This window comes from Homo sapiens, chromosome 10 (assembly GCF_000001405.40).
Source record: "Homo sapiens chromosome 10, GRCh38.p14 Primary Assembly".
Classification (NCBI taxonomy): Eukaryota; Metazoa; Chordata; class Mammalia; order Primates; family Hominidae; genus Homo; species Homo sapiens.
This window is the reverse complement of record NC_000010.11, coordinates 23,200,940-23,222,291: the sequence shown is the minus strand read 5'-3', so window position 1 is coordinate 23,222,291 and position 21,352 is coordinate 23,200,940. Positions and strand designations below refer to the sequence as shown.

The 21,352-nt window shown below is 38.5% G+C and overlaps 1 protein-coding gene across 5 annotated transcripts in view; it reads left to right on the top strand.

Moving 5' to 3' along the window:
- The window catches only part of C10orf67 (chromosome 10 open reading frame 67), a 142,882-nt gene extending 122,506 nt beyond the window's left edge, over positions 1-20,376 (top strand). For 4 of the 5 annotated variants that reach the window (XM_017016031.2, NM_001365862.2, XM_047424968.1 and 1 more), the window contains one exon: positions 18,037-20,376. In XM_017016031.2, coding sequence (XP_016871520.1) covers positions 18,037-18,119 — 83 coding nt within the window. In that variant the 3' untranslated portion in view covers positions 18,120-20,376. The remainder of the gene's footprint in view (positions 1-18,036) is intronic. The other variant, NM_001371909.1, reaches the window with a different exon arrangement.
- The last annotated feature ends 976 nt before the right edge of the window (positions 20,377-21,352 follow it).

Here is a 21,352-nt window from a genome sequence, read left to right as displayed (position 1 = left end):
CCAAGAAAACCATTTTGCAAAGGTCCATTTGAAGTAACACAAATAAATTTTGATGGCCACATGACACATAAGGCAGCCCCACTGAAACAAACACCGTCACTCCCTTTTCTAAGCCCTGAAAATGCAAAATGTAGAGTTATTTCCGCTCTGTCTACTGAAAATCCTCCTAAAATCTATTAGCTCACTTTTTTGCCTTACTAATAAAATTGAATATAAATATGTTTTATGATCCATAATTTTACAGTGTGCTCTAAGGCTCATAATTCTGAATATTAATCAGCACTGTAGAGGAGGCATAAGATAAAATGCTCACACCAGATGCCTGTGGACATAACCATGAAATTTCCTCGTATTCAATCTCAGATACAGCTTTGACATGTAATGTTCTTCCCTCTGAAGATAGTTTTCGGAAATAATCCAGTTAACAAAAATTTCTTATTAATTGGTTCCAGTTAATCCAAAATTTACTAGAAATAAATTTCCTATTTTTACTGAATAAAAACAACTAAATGCATGTTAAGAGGAAAGCTGAATTACTAATTTTCTAATTTGGGGAGTAAATGAATCTTCTCTTTAGAAAGCACGATCTTTGGTGGTAATGCCTTGCATTTCACGCATTCAGGCTGGACATTTAAAGGGACAAAATAGCTTTGCACAGTGGCAATATTGCAGCCAATAAGGTTTATCTGAGGTGCAATTATTGCCAGTCAAAGGGCCAAATTAGCCAAGATTATTGCTAATCTTCACCAAACAAGTTATTCCAAGCTCCGAAAGTACTTTACAAGGTTGAGTACCCTCTTCAGACCCCCCGGAAATAGTTTAATACATTATTAATGCTTTCAAGCACTAATTCAAAAATACCTATTAAAGAGGTATTAGATATTGATATGGTTTGGATTTGTGTCCCCACCCAAATCTCACGTCCATTTGGAGAAGGGGCCTGGTGGGAGGTGATTGGATTATAGGGGCTGATTTCCCCCTTACTCTTCTCATGCTAGTAAGTTCTCATGAGATCTGATGGTTTAAAAGTGTGTGGCACTTCGCTGTCTCTCTCTCTCGCTCTCTCCTGCTCCTCCATTGTAAGACATGCTTACTTCCCCTTCCACCATGATTGTAAGTTTCCTGACACCTCCTAGCCATGCGTCCTGTTAAGCCTGTGAAACTGTCAGTCAATTAAACCTCTTTTCTCCATGAATTAGCCAGTCTCAGGTAGTTCTTTATAGCAGCATGAGAATGGACTAATACAGGTACATAAAACATAAGGGGTTACTATAACCTATTTGGTAACAGATCCCAACCGAACACTTTCAAGTTAAAATGCATTCCATTTTTAAATATGTAAATAGGATAGGAACATTATTATTTAAAGTATCCTATGGAATATTATCGTTTCTGTTACAGAATCCTCATATTGGCATCAAAGGTTGAACTTCTTAGGCTATACTTTCACACCACAAAATACTTTGTGAAATTATGTATAACTATCATTCAGTGGATATACATAATATTCTAAATGCCTTTCACGTTTTTACTTTAATCCTCACAAAAATCCTATTAGGTGGGTACTCTTGCTTTCCCCCATTTTACAGATAAGACCACTGAATACAGAGAGGTTGGTAAACTGTTAGGTTTATATTGCAAAGAAGTAGAGCAGCTGGATTCAAATCCAGTGTAGGCTAAGAGTCCATGCTAATCCCCACTCAATTATTTTCACCTGCCCCAAGATTCATGCATGACAACATGGAAAATATCCCATTTTCAATAAAACACAGTGTGGAAAATCCATGGTGTAACAGAGCTAACCTGGGCTTTGGAGGCTGACAGAGCTTTCAAGCTCAGGTGACTACTTACTCACTGGTGCCTTCATCTTAGTGCTTCCTGTTGTGTAAAACAGACACGGCAACCCCACCTCATAGGTTTGTTATGAGGATGAAGTGAGATCATATATGTGACATACCTAGCTAATTCCTCTCTCTACCTGTCCTCTTGAGCTGTTCATAGTATAATCCCAAGCTAAAGCCTTGCAAATCTATATTTTAATCTCCCCGTGAAAGCAATGATGCCCTAAACAGTAGGCTAATAAATTAAAACAGCTAATCTCTACTGCTTTTTTTTTTCTTGAGATGGGGTATTTGTCTGTCATCCAGGCTGGAGTGCAGTGGTCCAGTCATAGCTCACTGCAGTCTCAAATTCCTGGGCCCAGGTGATCCTCCTGCCTCAGCCTTCTGAGTAGCTGGAACTACAGGCACACACCACCACATCAAGCTAATTTCTTTATTTTTTGTAAAGACAGGGTCTCACTTTGTCATCTAGACTGGTCTCCAACTCCTGGGCTCAAGCTATCCTGCTGTCATACATACTCTTTCAAAGTGCTAGCGATTACAGACATGAACCACTGTGTCCAGCCTCCTCTGCTTCTTTAATAGCTGATTTTCTACCAGGCATAAGTAAAAAATAAAATCTAGCAATAGTATCAAAACATACAGTATATGTTTTGAAAAGAGTAAAGTAAAATACAAAATATAATTTAAAATAATGTTACATCAGGTGATATGTCCTTCCTAGGCTGGTTAAAAATGATTTTTTGTTATGTTGCAAGTTCTAAAAATTCTAAACAGAACAAGAAAGTCAAGTGGTGCATGCAACATAGAAAGTTTGAGACAAATAAATCCTTGTTACTCTAAGGGGATTAAAAAAATGAGGTACAATACTATCTGCAACATTTCAAAGCAGTTTTTATGCAGTAGTAATTATCCAAGAGAGCACAGGTAACATTATTAATTTGTTTGCTACTTACTTGTGATAAAATTTGGGATCTGAGCTGCCCATTGTGTACTGTGCACTGCCACAGATTTTATGTACTCAAGAAGACCTTTCTCACAGTCCAGTAATTAGGTGCTATTGACATTGTAATCTTTGGAAATGTTCTTAATGAGCCCAAAAGACACGAATCTTACAGATAAAACCTCAAAGTAACAGTGACTCTTTAAGTGGCTTGTCAGGAAGAGAAAGCTCAAACATCAGTATCTGAAACACAGGAGAAACCCAAATTTAAACCTAGATTACATTGTGTTGTTAATTCTCTGAGACTTCTAGGGAAGAATCATCCAGGGGGTGATCTGAAAAGGTTTTTAAAGGACAGAACAATTGTAACATATTAGATATAATTTAAAATCTTTCTTTTTACCCTTTGAAGCCTTGGACCCAAGATATATTTTCAATAAGTATGTTTTGCACTGATTTATAGAAATAAATATTGTTTGAAAGTGAAGTTCAGTTGCCCCTGTTGTTTTAAATAGAAAAACAAGTTTTAAAATCACGTAAGAAATTGTAAGTTAGTTAAGAGATAAAAAGAAGTTTCAGGCATACGTGTTAACATTGTTTTATATATTGTCTCTAGGCTGTCAGCTATAATGGATATAATTTGTTAAGGTTTTCAGATTCATATTCAAGTGCACATTTTATAATATTACAATGTATATCCAAACAATAGATTCCACATATAATTGATGGCCATAAAAATGTTAGAAGGAGTTAATCAATGAATTGTGAGTTAATACCAGGACTAACCTGATTTATTAAATATAATGTATTACGGGGTCTGTAAATGTTAATGTCACTGCCACCAACTTTTCCATTACTTCCCTTGTTACCATCAGTTACCTATTATTCAAATTTTATATTTCTAGGTTGTACATGTCATGTCTGTCTTTGAGACTTGAGCTAATTCTCAACTACCTTTTCTTAGGAATTTCCCTTGCTTTTTATACATTTATTTAGAGATATTTTCTATTAATACTTGAGGCATATAATTTAGCATATTAGATGATAAATTAAAACCTGGGGCTGGGAGTGGTGGCTCACACCTGTAATCCCAATACTTTGGGAGGCCAAGGCAGGTGGATATGTTGTGCTCAGGGGTTTGAGAACCACCTGAGCAACATGGGGAAGCCCCGTCTCTACAAAAAAAAAAAAAAAAAAAAATTAGCCTCGTGTAGTGATGTGAACCTGTAGTCCCAGCTACTAGGGAAGCTGAGGTGGGAAGATCACCTGAGCCCAGGGAGGTGGAGGCTGCAGTGTGCCATGATGGCGCCACTGCACTTCAGCCTGGGCAACAAAGACTGTCTCAACACAAACAAATAAAAACCTGGAAGATCAGCAGCCTGTCTCTCAATTTTTCCTTCCAAATACAGTGAATTCCGAATGGTATAGAAATTGGTTAGGATGACCAACTGGATTAGAGAAGTGATGACAAAAATAAGAGGCTCTCTCTGTAACTGAAGCTCTGTCCGTAGGTCAGATTGGGATTGAAAAATGTTAGAAATGAAAAGGGAAGGCAACCCATATGCTTTGAAAATACAGTGTTAATCTTTGAAATAAATAGGCAGGTAATTACTTTGAATTTGCAAGATCATAAAAATTTAGTAGAAAAAAGTTTAGGCTAATAACTATTAAAATGTCCCTTATTAATTTGATGGACTGTCTTATTTCAGTCTAATATGTTTTTAAGCATCCATAGACAATATTTCATTTAATAAATACCACTAATCGCATTCCTTATCACACCTACACCTGGTGCTTAAAGCTCTCTGAAGCATGAGGCAGAAGGTAAGAATGTTTCTGGTGTGTGTTGTTAGTCCAGTTGAGCCATGAGTTGGATTCCAGCAGCCTCTCTACCCTGTGACAATGATCTCATCCCAAACCTTGCTGCCTGGTTGCAGACTGATATTGTGTTCATTTAAGAGGCATTATAAACCACATAAGCCATTATGGTAGTAACAAAACACTGAGAAAGTGTTTAATTAGTGCAGAGACAAGTGGGTATTAACTTTTTAATTTAGGAATGAGTCTGCTGGCAAAATGTTACAGGATATTATACATGGATTCATGCAAATCCATGGGCTTACCAAGTGTACCCTTAACTGAGTTTGACATGACATCCTTGTATATGAAAGGTACCATATTAATATTCCTTTCAGCTGCAGGAACCCCCATTTCAGAAATTGTGGGAATAAACCGAGATCAGAAAAGTAGTATTTATGAAGTGTGGCTTCTACAAATGTCACTGGGTTTCAATCTTCAGCTTATCACATTCCTGGCTTGTTCAACTTCTTTAATCAAAGTTGCCCATCTTCAAATAAACAATCACATGGAAAAAAAGATGTTATAGGAAGGAAGTATTTTGTCTACTATTAAATTCTACACAAATGTAAGCTAGAGTTCATCCAAAAATGATGAAATAATTTTATTTATAGACATAGTTAATGTAGAAAATTTTTTATGAGGAAATATTTCAGATATTAAGGGAATATAGAGAATTATATGTTGAACATCACCTGGCTCTATTAGATTTTGCCATGCTTGAGTCATAAAAGTAAGACAATGAAGACTGAGTTGATATCATTCCTCCTTCTCTCCCCAGAGGTAACCACTGCCTTGATTTTAGAGTTTGTCAATCATACATATTTTATATCACTACAGAGACACACACTCTTATACATGTACAAATAATTTATAACATCATTTGGCATGTTTTCAAGCATTATATCCATGATGGTGGAAGTATGTGTTCTTAATTTTTACCTATAAATGTTTTTGAAATTTATTTACAGTATTTTGCTGTATGTAGCTTGAGTTCATTTATTTTACCTGCTGTATAGTATATTCCATTGTATAATATGAATATTCTACAATATATTCATTCTGCTGTTGATGGGAATTCAGAAGATTTTCAATTTGTTAGATTCATAAATAGCTGCTATTTCTCATAGTGTATATGTGTGAGAGGTTTACTAAATACCTAGAAGAGGAGCTGCTGAGTTCTAGTAACTTTACTAGATACTGTCAGAATATGCTAGTAATTGGTTACACTACTTTACACACATATCAGTAGGTTATGAGTTTGTATTGTTCCATTTTCCTACTAACACTTGGAGTTGCCATATTTTTAATTTTTGCTGATATGATGGGTGTGAATTTGCATTTTATTCTTTTTTTGAAATTCCCTGATAACTAATAAGAATAATTCTTTATATGTTTATTAACCATTTTAGTTTCCTCTTCTATGAATTGCTTGGTGCTAGAAGTAGATGATTTTTCTATAATTGGGTGGTTCTTTTTTATAGGAGTCTATACATTCTGAACATTATCTCTTTGCTAGTTTCACGCTTCACAAATATCTTCTTCCTGTCTTAATGCACTGGCTAGAATTTCCAGTACTGTAATAGAGCAGTCAGTGGCACCCTTTTTTGGTTTCTCTCTCTAACAGGATAATTTCTAAAGTGTCATCATGAAGTATGATGTTTATTGTAGGTTTGTCATAGCTATTCTTCAATCAAGTCACTAAAGTTCTCTTCTATAGCAGGCGCTGAAAGTTTTTATAACAAATTGATGGCTAAGCTTTATCTGGTTTTCCCCCTTTACCTGTTAAGCTGATAACTGTGGTCATTCTCCTTTAATCTGTTAATGTTGAAACACATTAATACATTTTCTCATGTTAAATTATACCTATATTTCTTAACTTTTGTGTTGATAATTAATTTTAATTTTCTGGTCTTTTATTTAGAATTTTCCTTCTGAGTTTGGTCTATAATTTTTTTCCCTGAATTCCCATTATGTAGTTTGGATATAAAGGCTGTACTCGACTCAGTGGGAAGGATTACCCTCTTCTACCTCTTCTGTCAGATGATTAAAGTTAGTATATAATAGATATCTCAGCCGGGCATGGTGGCTTACACTTTGGGAGGCAGAGGCAGGTGGATCATGAGGTCAGGAGTTTGAGACCAGCCTGACCAACATGGTGAAACCCTATCTCTACTAAAAATACAAAAATTAGCCAGGTGTGGTGGTGCACGCCTGTAATCCCAGCTACTCAGGAGGCTGAGGCAGGAGAATCTCTTGAACATGGGAGGCAGAGGTTGCAGTGAGCCAAGATCATGCCACTGCACTCCAGCCTGGGCAAAAGAGTGAGGCTCTGTCTCAAAAAAAAAAAAAAGATATCTCTTCTTTGATGGTGTGAAAAATTTGTCAAATTGGACCTAGTGTCCTTTGTGAAGGTGAGAGAGATTTTCGAATACAAATTTAGTTTCTTTAATAGCTGTTAGTGTTCTATTTTTTTATTGAGTCAATTGCAGCAACATTTTTTCTAGACAATCCATTTGATCTACATTTTCAGATACATTGAAATAAACTTGTTCATTGTATTCTCCTATTAATTCTAAAATATCTGTAATTATGCCCCTTTTCTGCCCCTGATGTTTTCTATTTTCTGAGACAGAGTCTTGGTCTGTCGCCCAGGCTGGAGTGCAGTGGCAAGATCTCAGCTCACTGCAATCTCCGCCTCCCAGGTTCAAGTGACTCTCCTGCTTCAGCCTCCCAAGTAGCTGAGATTACAGGTGCGTGCCACCATGCCCAGCTAATTTTTATATTTTTAGTAGAGACAGGATTTTGCCATGTTGTCCAGGCTGGTGTCGAACTCCTGACATCAAGTGATCTGCCCAACTTAGCCTCCCTAAGTGCTGGGGATTACGGGCGTGAGCCACTGCACCCAGCCTCTCCCTGATGTTGTTTTATATATTTACCGTTTGTTTGTTCTTAATCCTGTCAAAGTGTTATATGATTTTTAGTCTTTTCTAAAGTACTAATTTTTGGTTTATTAATTTGCTCTACTTTTTTTGGTTGTTGGATTTATGTGTTTCTCTGCTATTTCCTTCTATTTTTAAAAGATATTTCTGTTTTTTCCTCTAGCTTACTCATTTTTTATTTTTATTACATATTAATAAATGCATTTATGACTTTAAAAATGTTTTAGTTGCATCCCATAAATTTTGACAGCACTTTAACTGTTGCTTGACTCTAAATATTTTATTCCATCATGATTGTCTCTTTAACACAGAGATTTTTAAATATGCTTCGTTCAGATTGCTTTACCTTTAATTAATGACTCCTAATTTCCTTGTAACCTTTCTATTAGCTCGTCTTATTAATTTGGTAGTTCAGACATTCTTTATTCTTCTAATTTATTGTATGCCTAATCTCTTATGTTTTCTGAAAGAGAAATATAAAAATATCTCTCTATGACTGAAGATTGATTAGTTTCTGTTAGTAATTCTGTCAGTTTTTTGTTATACATTTTAAAGCTATGTTAAATGCTTCCTATTTTTTCTTGGTGGATTGTTGCATGCACTGGCCTCTTTAACCCTGGTAATTCTTTGATGTCTTAAATTCTATTGTATCTTATATCAATAACATTATAATAGCTTTCATATTAGTAGTATTTGCATTGTATCTTTTTCATTTTTTTCAATATTTTTATGATCTTTTATATTGCATTTTTCTCTTTTAAGCAACTTAAAGTGATAACTTTTTTCTTTTTAGTTCTCTTTAGTAAAATCTACTTTTTAACAGGTGAATTTATTGTTTACAATTGTGATTATTGATATATTTGGACTATTTTTATTACCTTATCTTTGTATTTTCTGATATTCTGCTTTACTTTCTATTCTTTCTTGCTTTCTTTTAGGTTGATAACATTTTCTGTATTTTATCGTTTCCCCCATGCTGATTTGAAAGCTGAAAGCTGTGTTTCTTTTCTTTTATTGTATATGTTTATGTATGCATATGTTTTAATATATGTGTATGTTTAGAAGTATCATTACTTCAATAATTTGCTTTGTGAGGGCCTGTTGATGGTAAATTCTGTTTGCCTTAATTTTTACCTCACTCTTTGATGGTAATTTAGCAAGACATGGAATTCTAGGTTGGCAGTTATTCTTTCCTCCACATTTTCTTTTGTATCACCACCGTTGAGCCTCTACTTAGGATTATAAGAAGTCTGGTGTCAATTTTCCAATAATTTGTAGTTATTTAGTGTTTTCTTTATGGTGTTCAATGTATTCAATGATGTATTTATCAATATTCATGATAAAATTTGGATCTGATGATTCATGTATTTCTTTACTTCTAGAAATCTCTCAGCTACTACCTTTTCAAATATTGCCTGTACATTTTCTATGCTGATTTCTTCTGGAGCACCTCTCAATCTCTTCTCCATGCCTCCAATCTACATTTTCTAATTTTTCTTTGTTGTGTATATGGGTGAATTCTTCAATAGTACCTTCCAACATTCAAATTCTCTCTTTAGCTATGCCAGTTTATCCCATGTTTTAGTGTTTCATTTTAGTGACTCTTCTATTTCCAAAATTTTAATTGGTTCTTTTTCAAAGCCACTGTTCTTGTTTTACTCTGGGTTATCTTGTATCATAATTTGTTTTTCCTTTTTTATGATAATTATCATTAAACATGAACTCTTTGAACATACTAAGCATAAGTTTTAAAATCTTTGTCATACTGTTTCATCAACTTAAATTTACCTGGAGTGAATTCATGTTCTGATAGCTGATCTTGCTTTTGTCTTGCCTAGCATTCTGTCCTTTGTTTATTTTGGAACTTAGGTTTGCATGCTTACGTCTCTCTCTCTCTCTCTCTCTCTCTCTCTCTCTCTCTCTCTCTCTCAATACAATATTTCCTGAATATAGTTCTGTGACTGCTTCTTGTGCCTCTCTCACTCCCAGTTTACAGCCAGTTCTTATAAGTTTGGGGCTGCCTACTTTGCTGTGACATGAAGGGTCCTAAAGACTCCAAGCCAGCAGGTGGTCTAGCTCAGTTCCTCTGCATGAAGTGAGTTTGTGACCTCTAACCTTCCTAGGCTCATAGCTTACTACAAAGCCATAGCCCAGGTTAAAAACTGTTGTTGTTGTTGTTGTTTCTCAACTTTCTTTCATTAAAGCTTCTGCCTTCAAGAAGTGAATTTGTTCTTCCACCCAGCATGAAGCACATTTAGCTTCTGTTACCAAATATGAGCTTTATTCTTGACCATCAGGATGGGTTTCTGCAGCTGAAACAAGAGACGTGTGGTTTGGGCTATGTATTCCTTTGCTAAGGCCACCATAACAAGCTACCACAAACCAGGTGGCTTCAACCACAGAAATTAATATTCTCACAGTTCTGGAGGCTGGAAGTCTGAAATCAAGGTGAGGTTGGTTTATTCTGAGGACTGCGAGGGAGAATCTGTCCCATGACCGTCTCCTAGCTTCTGGTAGCCCTGAGTTTCCTTTACCTGTAGATGACATTCTCCCTGTGTCTACACATTGCCTTCCCTCTACCTACATCTCTGCGTTCACATTCCTTCTTTTTATAAGGACACAGACATACTGGGTTAAGGTCCACCCTAATGACCTCATCTTAATTTGATCATCTGCAAAGACCCTATTTCTAAATAAGCTCACATTTATAGGTACTGGAGGTTAGGACTTCAGCATCTTTGGGGAGACACAATTCAATTCCTAACAGGCTGGCTTGTTACTTCACCATTTCGTTACAAGAGACATGTTTATCTTGTTCTCCCAGTATGTCTTTTTGCTTTTCTTTTTAAATTTTATCTATCAGGCCCATATGGAGTCCTAAATCATGAACTCACTATACCATTGTTCTCTCTTCTTCCCCCACCAAAAATATCCTATGTGTTCAAATCAGTTCTCTTCATGTTCTGGATAAAGGACACTTCATTTGATTTCTACCTTATTTTATCTATTTTAAGAACACTTTACCTTTGTAAACAACTGCAGTTATTGTTATCCCACATATCCAAAGCATACATCAAGTACCAGTCATTTTTTTAAAGAACACTTTTAAAGTCTCTGTTGTATCTTCATAAAAGTCTTTTCCTTGTGTATCCTGTCTGTAACCTAGGCAGTAAGTTGCCTTCTCTGGAAAAGTGTGTGTTACGGGTTGAATTGTGATACCCCCCCCCCCCACACACACACACACACACACACCGCCTCACAAAAATATGTTGAGACTTTAATCTCAGGCTCCTATGAATGTAATCTTATTTAGAAATAGAGTCTCTGCAGATGTAATTAAGCCAAGGTCTTCCAGGTGGACTCAATTCAATATAACTAGTGTCATAAGAGGAACACGTCCTGTGAAGACAGAGACACACAGGGAGACACTATGTGATGGCAGAGACAGAGATTGGAGTGATGCAACCACAAGCCAAGGAATGCCAAGGATTGGTGGCCACGATCTGAAGCTAGGAGGAGGCAAGGAAGGATTCCACCCAGGGTCTCAGGGGGAGCATGGCCCTACAAATTTCAGACACCTTGATTTTGAACTCCTAGCCTCCACAACTATGAGACAATTCATTTCTGTTGGTTTCAGCCCCCAGTTTGTGCTACTTTGTTATGGCAGCTCTAGCAAGCAAATACAAGGTAACAATTTAATAACTTCATTGGCATTACATTAAATAATTGATACCCACTATTCCAAATGAGTTCAGTGGCAGTATGTTTTCAGTTTGTATTAAGACTTAGGGTAAGGAGTTCTGCCATTCAGTGCCCACCATAAAAGAGATATGTTCCCTTGATCAGTTAGAAAGCTACTTCTTTGAAGCTTCAACATATGTTCTAGCATTAAGGAATCAAATGTGACAAGGCTTGTGTATAAATGTGCCTGCACTTTCCTAGCAGATAGCAAGTGATCTCTATATGTTTGATAAAACTGAGTCTGAGGCCAGGCATGGTGGCTCACACCTGTAATCCTCCCAGTACTTTGGGAGGCTGAGTTGGGCAGATCACTTGAGGCCAGGAGTTTGAGACCATCCTGTCCAACATGGTGAAACCCCGTCTCTACTAAAAATACAAAAATTAGCTGGCCATGGTGGCAGGCATTTGTGGTCCCAGCTACTTGGGAAGCTGAGGTGGGAGGATCACTTGAACCCAGGCGATGGAGGTTACAGTGAGTCAAGATCACACCACTGCACTCCAGCTTGGGTGACAGGGCAAGACTTCATCTCAAAAAGGAAAAAAAAATTGAGTCTGAGGTTAACTCCATTTAGACTCCTGATTTCATGAACTTAGGTTATGTTCTCACAATATCCCTATTTGTCCTGGAGAACACCACCATGTCCAGTACTCTCTTCCATAAACATGCCCATGCCTCCTTTTCTTACTCTCTCCTTTGCTTCCTCTGCAAGCAGCTGCCCTCTGCCCCTCCTTCCTTTTGATGTGAACCTGCTTGAGGGAAATCAGAACCTGCTTGCTCTCCTTCTCTGGCTCCAGTTTCCTCCACTTTCCTCCTGGCTTCATTGCCCTCTAGCACTGCCATCCACTGGGTCACCAGAATCTTACAAATGGCAAATAAAATTTCTAGTCCTCATCTCACTTGACCTCACCCCAGGATTTTGTTACTGCTAAGCATTCCTTAATTCCTTTTTTTTTTTTTTTTTTTTTTTTAGCCAAGGTCTGGCTCTATTGCCCAAGCTGGAGTGCAATGGTGCAATCTCGGCTCACTGCAACCTCCTCCTCCTGGGCTAAAGTGATCCTTCCACTTCAGCCTCCTGAGCAGCTGGGACCACAGGTGTGCGCCACCACGCCCAGTAAGTTTTTGTATTTTTGGTAGAGACAAGATTTTGCCATGTTGCCCAGGCTGGTCTTGAACTCCTGAGCTCAAGCGATCCACATGCCTCGGCCTCCCAAAGTGCTGGGATTACAGGCATGAGCCACTGCACCTGGCCCCTTAATTTTTTTGTGAATAGCTCTATTGAGATATACTTGACAAATAAAAATTATATATACTTAAGAGAAATGATCACCACAGTCAAGCTAACTGGCATATTTATCATTTCACCATTTTCTTCCTCTCCGTCTCTTCTTCTTTCATCCTTCTCCTCTTCCTCCTCCTTTTATGATGAGAACACTTAAGAGCTACCTACCCTCTTAGCAAATTTCAAGTATACAGTACAGTATTGCTAAATAGTTACTCTGCTGTACATTAGATCTTCAGAATTTATTCATCTCACATAACTGAAACATTGTATCCTTCACCTTAATTCTCCAAACGCTCTCCTCTTGACCTCCAAGACACCAACCTGTCCTGGTTCTCCTCCTCCTATTCAGAGCACCCTTCTCAGGCTCTCCTGCTTGATCAATTTTGCCCCTGCTCTGTGTCTTAAATGTTGAGGTTGCTAAGGATTTCATATTTCGCTTCACTTTTTTACACTTTGTTATTCCCTGTTGAATCCTTCAGCAGATCTCTATGGCTTTCAAGATAAAATCAAGTTCTTCAGTTTAGCCTACAAGACCATTCGTAACCCCTCCCTCTCCCATATGTGAGCTTTCTAACCTAGTGGTCACAAATGACTTGCAGTGCCCTGCTGTTTCATGCTGTTCCAAGCACCTGTGCCTGTACACATGCCTTCATCTAGGTGGTGGGTCTTCTGCCTGGTCTCGCTGAGCTTCTGTGTTCAGCTGGTCATTGATGGACTTATGCTGGCTGTCTGCTGGGGTGACAGGGGTAACCAGACCTCATGTCCCTCACTATCAAGTAGGCTAAGCCAAGCTTGCTTTCATGGCACTCTCAGGGTTCTCCAGAGCAGCAAGAGAGCAGGCTCCAATGCACAAGGATTGTTCAAGTCTCCGCTGGGGTCACATTTGCTCTTATCCCATTAGCCAAAGCAAGTCACAGGGCCAAGACCAGAGTCAATGTGTGAGGGAACTGCAAAGGCTGTGGATAACAAGTGGAACACACTACTTAGCCTTCTAGGTTTTACCTTCTCTTTGTTAATCCATTCACTCATTCATTCCACAGACTTTATGAAAACCTAAGCAAAGGCCTAGGCGAGGCACTGAGGATATAGAGATTTTTCTCAGTGCCTGGAATTTATGTTCTAAGACAGTCACTCAATGACTAGCACATTCTGTAAAAGTCAGACCAGGATTTGTGGAAGTCCCATGAGGTAAGGTGGGCCTCCTGAGGTCTGTCTGCATTTTTCACCATTTCTGCGGAAATCGCTACCTTGCTCTTCAGAATTATATATTAATAACCACTTTTCCCATAAGAATAATCAGAAACCAAGATACAGAAACAAAATTTTAAATATTTTCAGTGTGTATGTTTTTAAAACTGTGACTGAAATATTACTGCATTTCTTTGGGAACCTATAAATTCACGCATGAAACTGTGTGATAACAGCATTTCCACTAAATATGCAGATGTCAAGGTGAGTTACAGGTGAGTTACGAGAGCATTTAACATTTCAATCCTTAGGCTCCAAATTGTTCACCTGTTCATAAGAAAAACTAGCTGCTTGTAATTTCAAATTCGTACGTGCAAAAATTGCATAGACCAAACGTTCGAATGAAAATCCTTTTAGAGACAACTACCTAACGCTTCCATATTAAGAGTGTTTATTTTTCTCTAGGATTAGAACAGATTGCATTGGCAGCCCGGTCTTTCATAAAGAGGGGGGTGGGGAATAGAGTTGGGCCTTCATTTTCTCACAAAAGGCACAATGTGAAGCGCATCTGTGAACATTGCATAATTTGTTATGTTCTACACAGAGGTGGGTTTTTGTTGTACACATACCAAAGCTATTTGGTGCCGTTTCACCAATGATCTCTATTCAGGTCCAGAAAAGAAATTGGCCTCAGAAGAGTGAAAGGAAAGTAAATTTTTCTTTAAAAATTAGATACAGATTATCACTTCAAAATGCAGGAGGGAATTTTACAAGTGCCGGTGTACTGATTAGCTTTCCAATGGACATCCAGCCCTTTATTAAACACATGCTAGCTGTGGTCAACTGTGACCGATGTGGTTTATTACTCTCCAGAAGGGCTGAACTGAAATCACCCATCTAATTTAATTGAGAAATGTTGGATGAACTTGAACTGTTTCATGGACATGAATGACCAGAGAATTTATTTGATGAGACGTTAAAGGCTGAATACGGTAACTATCTCTTTGATGGTTTAGTACAGTCGATTCATTAGTTCATTAGCATGCCTTTCATATTTTTCATTACTACCTGAGCAACCTAAATGAAAAAGGCAAAAAATAAAAGTTTTTGTACAGCGTCATTCTAAAAAATTAGCAACCTTCCCTTTATTGGTAAATATTTGTGATCATTTTTAATGTAGTTAACTCTTTTCAAAGTGACATCAGCTTTCCAGTAAAGGAAGTTCACAGTAATTAAATTGTGTGGACATTAATAAGTCCACTGGGATTTTTCATGTGATAGTCCCTAAATTATTTTCAAAATGTTGTCTTCTGACTTCATTCATTAAGACAAAAAAAAAAAAAAAGCCTTTAGGAAGTTGGCATGTTATTCACCAAACAAGCTCCTTTGCATTTTCTCGTAAACTGGGCAGTGTGAGCTGTAATTGGTGGCCTTGCAATGAAACATTTGTAGTAACTTTATCAAGAGTATGGCACAGAGGTGGCATCAGATGACAGTGCTTTCTCTTCATGTGTGTCTGCTAACATTTAAGATAGATTCTGCTTTTTTTCCAATGACTAATGCTGAGGCATAACTTGGAGATATACATCTTTTTTAAACTATATTAAAATATTATATCTTTTAAATTATCCACAGAAAGAGCTAGAAACTCTAATAATAAATTATAAACTCACACTTCATGTAACTAGTGACTCTTTAAATGAAATTTTTCATTGAAACTTTGTCATTAAAATAGAAAGGGCTTTGGCTGTGCCCATACAAGCATAATAAATTGTATATGTTTGTGATACTGAATGACTTTTACCCATATGCTGCACTGCAAAGCTACATGAATGAGGCATTTACCAAATCAGGCCCACCACATTAAACAGAAAAACAATCTTTATTCATGGTAACTTATCAGTTTCAATTAATCAACCCTAACAATGGAAATTCTGATGTGTTCAAGCAACTTGAAAGCAATAGGTCATCTCCAGGGCAGCATTGTTGTGTCTTTGTGCCGAAGATTTCAAACAAAGCAACATCTTCAATAAATATACATGCATATACATATATACATGTGCATATATATACATACAAATGGACAGTTACAGCTGAGCCCTGTGGTGCCAACAAAAATGCATGTGTATTTTTTATTATTTTTATCACAGCACATGTAATTGTTTTCCCTCAAGTATTACTTTTTGAGCTCTGCAAGTTTAAACAAAAGGAAAGAAATTTCCATTGGATGACCATCCTTTCAGTTTCTGTACTGCTATGTGAATAGCATTGTGCAAACCATTCCATTGGTTTTGAAAAGGGGTAACCATTGGTTTGATTTGGTTACACGGTTTAGTAAAGAGCTCCCTCCCACTGCCTTAGGGTCTGTGAAAGGTCTGTGACCTGTTTAGAACTGCCAAGTGAAATGTCATGTTGCCCCTCCCAAATGGGAGTATCTGCATTCATTTGATCAGTATAAAAAATGATTGGGGATGGCGAGATCAGTGCTTTTGAATTGCAATTTATAGCAGTTTACAAAAATGCACATTGTTAGAAAAGAAAACATGGAAGTGTTTCTTTCTAAATTGCATTACCTGTGAAATGTCATTAGTCTTTTAAGGATATTTACATCCTTTTTTTATTATTTAGGAGACTTACTTCAACTAAAGAAAATAAGAATTTTATTACCTTATGATTTTTTGAGTTGTATTTTGGTTTTAGTGTTAAAATTTTTTAAAAAGCAATGTTTCTGAGTTATTCATATAAACATAATTTATCATGTCCATTTATTGATTTTCTAAGATAATCTTTGTTAATGGGTTGTATTAGTAGAAGATTCTTAATTATCTTTCCCAGATTGTTCAGGACATTTATTTGTTGGTAAATTCCTCGTCTGCTGATTTCTAATAGACTAAAATCTCCAGTATACTTAACTCTAGCAAGTTTCCACTATTCCTTCAACATTGTACTACCAGAACTTCTTTGTAAGATGAGTACTTTTCTAAATTATGGAACCCATTGACTCATCTACATGTATGCATAGTTTTATAAAAAGAAATTTCATTTCTTTTCATTAAATGTGCAAAAGAATACACGAAGCTTATCCAGAAAGTTTAGGTAGCCTGTTCAAGTTCATAAGGGCTGAATGCAGCCTCCTGGAGTTTCTGGGATGCAGAAAACAATGCCCTTTATGCTATTTCCAGGCATCTCACAAGCTCTGTATCTTTATGGCAGTGTGTAGCATTGGACATTACTTTAAAGAAAGCTTTGAGTAAGAAAAGTTACCTTGGGAAAAGGCCCTTGGGGCTTTCCTGGTTGATACTTGACTAGAAAAAGAAAGGCCCTTCTGCAGAAAAGACTTGACCCAGATAGGCTCTGGAGCACTCCACTTTGAACCTCCCAACCATTGAAAGCCGAGGTTGTCACGTTTTTATCTTTGTTCATGTTAAGCCTTGGAATGACAGCCTGGCTCCTCTGTGTTCCCCTCTCCCACTGCCCCGGCTATAAGTGTCCACATTGACACCTACCGGTGACCGCAGGCTGCAATGCTTTGTTGCCTTCTCCACGCTCCCGGCTTTCACTGGGATTAGCCCAGGGCCTTTGTTCCCCTTCAAAGCTGGAACATCACATCCCATGTTGTGGCTTTCCTGTCTCAGACCCCCAACGCTTTCCTCACAATTTACGCACCAGGTAAATGTTCCTCCCCACAGGGCAGAGAGCCCAACGTTGAGGTTAGGGGGTGGGGACATCTTCCCATTCCCCAGTTTCAGAGCCCAGGGCCAATGTGGTTTCCTTTCCTTCTCATTCATAATTTTCTATTTCACAGGCCCCGTCTATTTCCATTGCAAGGCAAATGGAAATTTAAAACTTGGAAAAATCAAATCCCTGGGCCCAAACACAGACAACTCTTCCCACTTTTTTTATTCTGCTACAACGGCTTCAAGTAGAATGTTGAGTACTGGCCTTTATCAGGGGCACCTGAGACCATTCCTGCAGCCTGGGGCTGCCGGAGAGCCCCAGACTGTCTCAGAGCAAAGCTTGGCTGGCACACGCTGTCTGGAAGGCCAAGGATAATCTGCCTGCCTGCCCTACCTCCTTCACCGTCTCTCTTCCAGGTTCCTGAAGAGGCTCTCAGCTAGGGCCAGGGCTGGGAAGACCCACTAAAAAAAATGACGCAAAATGCTTTGGGGGAAGAGTGGGAAGTGGTCTGTGTATGATAAGTAAAACAAAGTTTATGTCTGTCCACCTTTCTTCACGTTTAGGGAAGTTGTCGGAATCCCCAAAAGAAGAGTCCTTGGAGGAGCCCTCCATGCGCCAGAGCAGCCCCGCAGAGACTGTTGATTAACCCAGCAGAAGCCTGGGCTGCGCAGACGGGGCCTCAGAAAGAGTGGCCTCGCCGTCCTGGTGTAAGGTGCCTCCCTCGGAAAGGATACTATCTCCAAGGATTTTCTAAACTAATTGTTTAATCTCTCCAGATTATGTATATTAACCAGCACTGCGCTCGAATAGACCTCAATGCGCGCCTTGTGCGCGCTCCTTTCCACGCCTTTAAGGAAAGCCCTGGCTGGTGCTGGGTGAGCGGGGCGCACTGAACCTCCGGGGCAACCACATCCATTCAGGAGCTCCGGGGACTCAGAAGAGCCCAGGCGTCTAAGAGTGGGAAGGGACGGACTTTAATTAAAAAGTTTGACTCCCTCTCTAATCCAGTCTTTCTATACCAAAAGCATCAACCTGTTTTGCTGTCTCCTCACCCAATAACTAGTCCCCATGAAGGTAGGTCATGAAGACTACAGGGAGATCGTACATTTCCTCAAGCAAGATTCATTCTTATCTTACCCCGGCACAGGGCACCTAGCCGCATCTTAAAGGCTGTCAGAAATTCTTTAGTAAGTAGGGAAACTCTTTGGAGTTTTGCTTCCTGGTAAGGATGCAAACCAAGATTCTGCTGGAATGCCAGACACCGTTTACCAAAAGGCGGGTTTGCTTTTCTTCCATGCGTAATGTCCAACTTGGTTCTTTCTATTCCCCTAACTACAAGTAAGGCCTTGTTAAGAGCCTGTATCTGAATCGTAGGCTCTGGATTACAGAATTCTACAGTTATTTATTAAGTCTCAGGAAATATATTTGTGGTAGTTGTCACATAAAGCTGATATACTTTAGTTCAAAAGAAAGCTGCAGAGGTGATTTATTTGTGCGTAAAAGGAACAAGATTTAATTGGAGAGAGACGTGTTCTTTTCAACGCAAGTACATGGGATGGTATAGCGCTGTGGAGCGTTATTCGAGCTTCATCTACTATGCACTATATGCCGCTGTCTCCAAAGGAGTGTTGCCCTAGAAACTTGTTTTAAATCTGCTGCTATATATCAACACCTTGTTTTAGCAGTCCTTGGCTGAATTACAGTTACACAGTTTGGCGCTTCTTTCAAATTTCCTCCCATCAGTTTGGCTAAAGAAAGGAATTTTTCTCCTTTAGAAATGAATTGGCTTAATTAGTAAGTAGATTAATGGCAATTGCTGGTGAGTTGGTTTCCAGCAGAGTTTCACCAGAGAGGGTTAATCGGAGTCAGGTCTGGAATCTTTCCCAGAACTGGCTGCCAGCCATTTCCACCAACCAATCAACCCTACAAGAAACAGAGGAAATGAAATAAAATTTGTATTCTCTGTGCCATCGTCCTGGACAGAAATTCCTTGGAAGCAGCCTCCTGGTTGGGTGTGATATCAAACTGCTTCATTTCAGAACTTTAATAGAAACTTGAACCTTCAAGATTTATCTGGGTACCAAAGCAAAGTTTCAAATGGCACAATAAAGGTCTCCACAGAACCCTGGATGTATTGGAAATTTCTGAGGCTCTCAGCCAATTTCAGGTTGGGAGAAATTGCAAACCACCCAGGTCCTGCCCTATATCTGTTGTCCATCAGAAGTCCTTCAAAAGTTTTGCTGTATGTTTTGCAGCCTTTTTACTTTTTTACTTATTTTTTTCCCATAGTGATGAAAATGCATTCATAGTTTAACTTGCAGCTGCATTAGTCTTACAAAAAAAAAAAAAAAATCCCTGCTGAGAAATGCATATAATAGGAAAAACAGATCGGCTGGACAGCAGTGTAATTAATGCCAGAAAGGGCTGAGGCCGGTTTCATAGTTTGTCTTTTGAGGATATCAAGACGAGACCTGGTGAAAAATGACGCATGCTTTAGCATTTCAGAAAGCTGGCAACTGGCAGCGCTTTTCCTTTTTTCTTTGACTTTCTGCCGCGGAACAAAGAGGTCCGCAGAACTAGCTAGGTTGTAATGAGTTCTATGTCCCTAGCACATTAAGTGCATCATGGAAACATATTGTATCGAAATAGTTTGGAGGAGAATACCGGGGATGAAAGAGAATGGGTGCTTTGATCAGCTCCCTGGGGTCCTGAGCACGCACAGACTGACTTGCAAGGAGTTATTCAGCTCCAGCTAGACACACTTACAACACCATTGAAAGAAATTTGCATATCTGTAATTTATCACATTGGTCCAGAACATTATTGCAAGGTAAATAAAAGTTAGTTGAATAAAAAAAATCAATCATCGCAGATATAGAGAAAACTGTGAAGCCAGTCTTTCCACTAAAAAATAGAAATAAATATGTCTATAAAACATAGTGACTTAGAAGTAGCTGACTTTATTTTAAAATGCCTTTAGAACAACAGGTTATGCACTGGCAAAAACAAGAGTGGCCACAATTTCTTTGCCTTTCTGGTTTAGGGGAGTGTGTTCACTGCTTCCCACTGGAATAAAGTCAAAGTTGAGATGTGTTTGGCCATAACCAGCCTGCAACATGCAGACAAAAATTAGTACACACTTTGAGCAGATATGAAAGACGACTTAATCTCTCTGGCATTTGCAAATGCTAAGTTAAATCTCATTTCTTCTTCTGTTGATTTCATTCCTAAGCCTTGTTTGCTGAATTTAGCTCAAGAGGATGAAATGTCCAGAGACCTGGTCAATAGGAAAACTTGCTTTCGAATGCCCCATGAGAACAAGTGAAAATTTAACAGGCAGGCATTGTTCTGAGTTTTGAAACAACCCAGTTAAACAGCAAACAAGAATCTTCAACTTGACCTTGAAAAAGGCTGTGTGCCTGCAGATAATCTATCAAACAACTCTAGATGACAATGATATATTTCAAAGTATTGTCAGATGAAAAGATTGATAAATTTGCTGTTGCAAAGAGAGAACTTTGGAAACAGGCAACAGGCACTTTAGCTCTCTGACTCCGCCTCCTCCTCTGTCCTCACTGCCCCGTCCCCACCCCACCACCCCCAGCCGCCCTTGGGGCCAACTCGGTAGAAGAAGGCCAGTAAATCAGCACTGTAATATTTCTTAAGGGGCACGGAAAAGCTGTGAACAGTACTTCTCATATTAAACGCAATATTTCTTTGCTTTCGTGGGGAACAAAAGTCATAGCAAGACGTCTTTATGGCTAATTCAGTCAAAGGCACATCCCTGGTTCCCCCCGAAGAAAGGTCAGTGTCGTTGTGTTTGGTCCACCGAGGGGGTGTTTTCACACTGAAAACTGAGCCAGCTGTCCCTGTCATACC